The sequence below is a fragment of the Homo sapiens genome, chromosome 17, assembly GCF_000001405.40.
Source record: "Homo sapiens chromosome 17, GRCh38.p14 Primary Assembly".
Taxonomy (NCBI): domain Eukaryota; kingdom Metazoa; phylum Chordata; class Mammalia; order Primates; family Hominidae; genus Homo; species Homo sapiens.
This window is the reverse complement of record NC_000017.11, coordinates 29136288-29140473: the sequence shown is the minus strand read 5'-3', so window position 1 is coordinate 29140473 and position 4186 is coordinate 29136288. Positions and strand designations below refer to the sequence as shown.

At 50.5% G+C, this 4186-nt stretch overlaps 1 protein-coding gene across 6 annotated transcripts in view, besides 4 other annotated features; it reads left to right on the top strand.

The window, feature by feature from the left end:
• The window catches only part of MYO18A (myosin XVIIIA), a 109277-nt gene that overhangs the window by 39925 nt on the left and 65166 nt on the right, over positions 1-4186 (top strand). The window contains exons 1-2 of one of the 6 annotated variants that reach the window (NM_001346768.2): positions 85-134; positions 3390-3458. The exons of the other annotated variants lie outside the window; for them this stretch is intronic. The gene's annotated coding sequence lies outside the window, so the exon portion shown is untranslated. Of the gene's footprint in view, positions 1-84; positions 135-3389; positions 3459-4186 lie in introns of those variants that run through there. 6 annotated transcript variants of the gene reach the window in all.
• Positions 306-355: a silencer, noted in NCBI's record as "silent region_8364". NCBI's record gives its function as "represses an Ori minimal core promoter by ATAC-STARR-seq in GM12878 lymphoblastoid cells {active_cell/tissue: GM12878}" and the evidence as "EXISTENCE:reporter gene assay evidence [ECO:0000049][PMID:35858748]".
• Positions 788-1771: an enhancer, noted in NCBI's record as "H3K4me1 hESC enhancer chr17:27465721-27466704 (GRCh37/hg19 assembly coordinates)". NCBI's record gives its function as "activates a minimal SCP1, AML or CMV promoter by ChIP-STARR-seq in naive H9 embryonic stem cells {active_cell/tissue: H9 hESC(naive)}" and the evidence as "EXISTENCE:reporter gene assay evidence [ECO:0000049][PMID:30033119]".
• Positions 1046-1095: an enhancer, noted in NCBI's record as "active region_11963". NCBI's record gives its function as "activates an Ori minimal core promoter by ATAC-STARR-seq in GM12878 lymphoblastoid cells {active_cell/tissue: GM12878}" and the evidence as "EXISTENCE:reporter gene assay evidence [ECO:0000049][PMID:35858748]".
• Positions 1772-2755: an enhancer, noted in NCBI's record as "H3K4me1 hESC enhancer chr17:27464737-27465720 (GRCh37/hg19 assembly coordinates)". NCBI's record gives its function as "activates a minimal SCP1, AML or CMV promoter by ChIP-STARR-seq in primed H9 embryonic stem cells {active_cell/tissue: H9 hESC(primed)}" and the evidence as "EXISTENCE:reporter gene assay evidence [ECO:0000049][PMID:30033119]".

The window sequence follows — 4186 nt, the reverse complement described above, 5'->3', positions numbered from 1 at the left end:
GGACGGGAGGGGCCGGGGAGAGGGCGGGAACTGGGCGGGGCCACAGCCTGTGCTATTTTGAGCTGCTAACGGAGCCAGAGCAGCATCAGAGCGGAGTCTCCTTGCTCTGGGCTGCTCCAGGCCAGGCCATGCGGGTGAGTGTCCCTCTGACCCCCCACCCCGGAAATGTCCCAGGCTCCTCATGCTATTTCCTCATTTAGGAAAGGAGGGACCTTTTTGTGATTTCCCCAGATGTGGCTGAAGTAGGTGGGGAGAGGGGTGGGGCAGCCTTGGGGCTCCTCTCCGAGCTTCTTGGTAAGAAGGGAGTTACTCAGCCCCGGAAGCCTCAAAACCCCTCCGTGGCTAGGAGCAGGGCATCCTGGGCCTGACTCATGACTTCAGGAGTTTTGGAGGGGCACTGTCTTCTGAACCTCAGTTTCCTGGGGTTGCATCCACCCCCAAGGCTGTGACACGCCTTCCCCACCAACCATTAGTGCTTTTTTGGCCTTCATTCCTTAGAACACTGTTTTCTTCCAAAGCCCCAGCCCCACAGCACCCAAGGTCCTCGGTAGTCTTGTCTCTGCTTTGTTGCTGGTATAGCTCTTTCCTCTCTTCCTCCTTGAGAGGGGATGGTCCTTGGAGTTGTCAGGGAGCACCCTTCTCGCTGTCCCCAAGAGTAGTCTTAGCATGGCCACCTCCATTTCTGTGCATAGGACACTTGCAAGGGGCACAGATGGCGTGTTGGGGATGCTCTGACTGGCCCTAAGTCTCTTTTTTAGTAGAGATTACTCCAGATAAGTAAGTTCCTTAAAAAAGAAAGTGAGGAGAGACATAGCTGCTCCCAGTCCTTCCCGTTCCCCTGACTCTACCCCTCCCAGCCACCAAGGGTAAGGTTTTCAGTTGTGTCAGCAGTTGGCAGAGTACGTGGGCTGGCCTGGTGCGGAGGTGCATCAGGAGCCTGAGATGTACCCGTGAGTACTTGTATCTCTCTGTGCTCAGGACTGCCCTGCCTCAGCCCCCAAACTGGCACCAGGGCTGAGTTGTGTGGGCAGTATGCCCGGGGGTGGGGGAGAGGTCAGAGAGAGCTCCTCACCCTGAGAGATGGGCGCTTCCTGGTCTAGGGTACTCTCCCCCAGCCACCCCCGGGCCACTAGCACCAGGTCACAGATTTAGGGCCATGCACAGTGATATCCAAGCAGACAGCAAAGTGCCCTCCAGAGGGGCAGTGAGCATCCCCAGGGAAGGGGGGCCTCCAGCAGGTTCAGTCGTTGGAGGAGGAAACCAAGACCCTTCTGCAACTGCAGTTGCGGCAGGAAGCCATTCCAGTGCACCTGCTTCCTCTGGGCTGGCCTGCAGTGAGGCGGGTGCCCGGCTGCTTTCTGTTCCGCCCTGGGGCTGGGGAGGGCTCTGGCTGGAGGCTGGACTGCAAGGGCCAGGTTGTCCCTGCCAAGCTCATCTCCCCCTCCCCCGCTGTCTGGCAGCATGGCCTTCAGTTCATTCCTTAGAGAGCTTCCCTTCCTCTCAAGCAGTTCCACGTAAAGCATATTCAGGTTGGTGGGTGGAGGGGCGGGTCATCATTGGGAACCCCTGCTTTCCTCCCAAGCTGCTCTTCTGGCAGCTGATGTAGAAGGACAACAGTGCAGGTGAACCAGGGGAAATGGAGGGCAGGGCGTGCCTCCATCCCTTAAAGTGAGCAGTGGAGGGCTCTCGCAGGAGACCTGAGTGTGAGTCCCAGATCTGCCACTTGCTGCTGTGAGGCTTTGGGCGAGTCACCTGACCTTCTGAGCCTCCTTTTGCTCATTTGTAAAGTAGCAGTCACACAGTCACACTAGTATCTATTTCAGAGGGATGTTGTGAGGATCAAATGAGATGATTCATGTGAGGGATTCAGCACAGCACCTGACACATACCAAATGCTCAATAATGATTAACCGTTTTTTACTATTATGCTAGTATTTCTTCCCTTCTCCTTTGTTCCTGCCACCCTTCCTCGCCCTCAATCCCTAGATAAGTTGGTGCTAGGTTGGGACTGGGAGGAAGAAGTCTCCTGGGAGCTGCCCTCTGTGCCTCTGAATGGGAAAGAGGGAGGAGAGGAGAATGCCCTGCCTCTTGGTCCTCAGAAGGAGAAGCCTCCGGTGTGTGAGTGCTGTCAGAAGCGGCGAGGCGGGAAAGTGACCTCGGCCACCAGCTACGTCTCAGCTTCCTTTGGGCACTCTCTTGAGAGTTACCTGCTGCTCTCGGGGGCTTGCAGTGTGCAGATGTCTGGTGTGGATGCTTGGGCCTCAAAGCATTTGTCCAGGCCAGGCATTCCAGGCCTGAGGGGCTGCCTGAGGCGTGGCATTATTCTCCCAGGAGCATTTGTGCCCCCATTCCCTCCTGTGAGGGGCCCAGAGAGTGCAGGTTAAGGGCGGGTAGGCTCTGCTGGCATGGTGGAGGGTAAACCCCAGCTGCTCCCAGAGTGTCAGAAGCCTCCTGGGGCTGAGGCTTGACAGTCCCTCAGTACATTTCTTGGATTTCTCCTCTTTGAGAACAAATGCTTCTAGCTATTATCTCCTTTGCTTTTTTTTTGACTATTTAGCCATCTTCACAATAAAAATAAGCAGTAAGTAACAAATACATACCAAAATAAATACCAGGTGTTCATGTTGTGTCTAATTCACACAGTTTACAAGATTATTATGATCACTGTTTGTATACTATTTGGGTTCCAGTTTTTTTGATTGATGTCATTTTATATGGAGCTTTCCATATGGTTACATTGTCCACACATTTGTCAGTTTAAATGGCAATACAACAACGGGTTGTACCTAACCATTTCTTAATTCTAGGCATTTGGGCTCTTTCCAATTTGGAGCTGTTATATAGAGTGCATCTATAAAAATCTTTGCGTTTTTTTTCTTTTTCTTTCTTTAAGTCAGCTCACTGGACATACATTCCTGAAGATGGAATGGGTAGGCCAGAGGATGATGCATTTTGTGGCTATTGTTCACGAAGAGCTACTAAGCAATTTCAGTGTCCTTGCCCTCCCTGCAAACCCAGGCATTGAGTTCACTATGTATTTATTGTGAGCAGGTTTAGAGATTATACCTCCCTTGTTTGTACCATGTCCCTGGGAATCAGAATGGGCAAGTGTTGTTCTCTGTAGTTTATATTTGGGGAAGAGATTAGATGGGAATAAGAGGTTTGTGCAAAGAACCCCTGTCCCAGCACTCTCGTGCAGCTAACATTTATTAAGCGCCTACAGTATGATGAGTAAGATGGGTAAGTTCTGCTCAGAGGTGAATCACAGTCCAGGGATGACAAAGACGCACAAACAGCTCCCCAAGATACATTCTGGTTGTGGCTCCCAGCTCTGCCACTTAATAGTTGCAGCGCTCTCGGCAATTCACCTTCTTTATTTCCTTATCTAGAAAGTGTGTTGTTATGAGGATTCAATGAGGAGACCTGTATGAAGTGCCTTCCCCTGTGCCTGGCTCATAGTAAGTGTTCAGTGAGTTTTGGTCTCTCTTGCTGTCCCTCAGAAGTGCCACAGAGGGAGGAGGTGGGTAGACCTGCAGAGTGGCAGAATCATGGTGGGGTCTCCCTTTTTGCACATCCAAAAACTCGATTTGGAGAGTTGCACACTAGTAAAACACACTATCAATCCATGCTTTGGCTTGACCAGATCTTCTGAACCTTCACGCCGATGAAGTTTATCAACCAGATTTGGCTACCAAAGCTGATGCCTGCCTAACATACCAGAAAAGGTGGGCACTGAGGAAGCAGCACAGGCTTTGGAGGCAGACCAGTGTGGGTTCAAGTCTGGGTTCCCCCACTTAACTAACTTTGTGACTTAATCTCTTTCTGAATCTTTTCCCTCCTCGATAAAATGGGAATAATAATAATTCCCATATCACCAATCCTCAGATTGTTGTAAGATTTACATTAGAAAATAAATGTTCAATATCTTGTATAGGGCCCATCTCATTGTAGGTGCTCCATATTCAGTAATGTTGCTGGAAATGGCTGAAATCTCTAGAGAGAGAACAAGTCAAGGAAGAGAGGCCTTAGATCTAAACACCCTTGCTCCAGAGAGCCATATGTTCCCAACACATATGCTGCCACCACCTTTGGGGCCTGAGTTCCTTACCCATTCTGTCTTGGATAACAGTAACTTGATCTTTTTTTTTTTTAATTTTTGTGGGTACATGGTAGGTTTATGTACTTA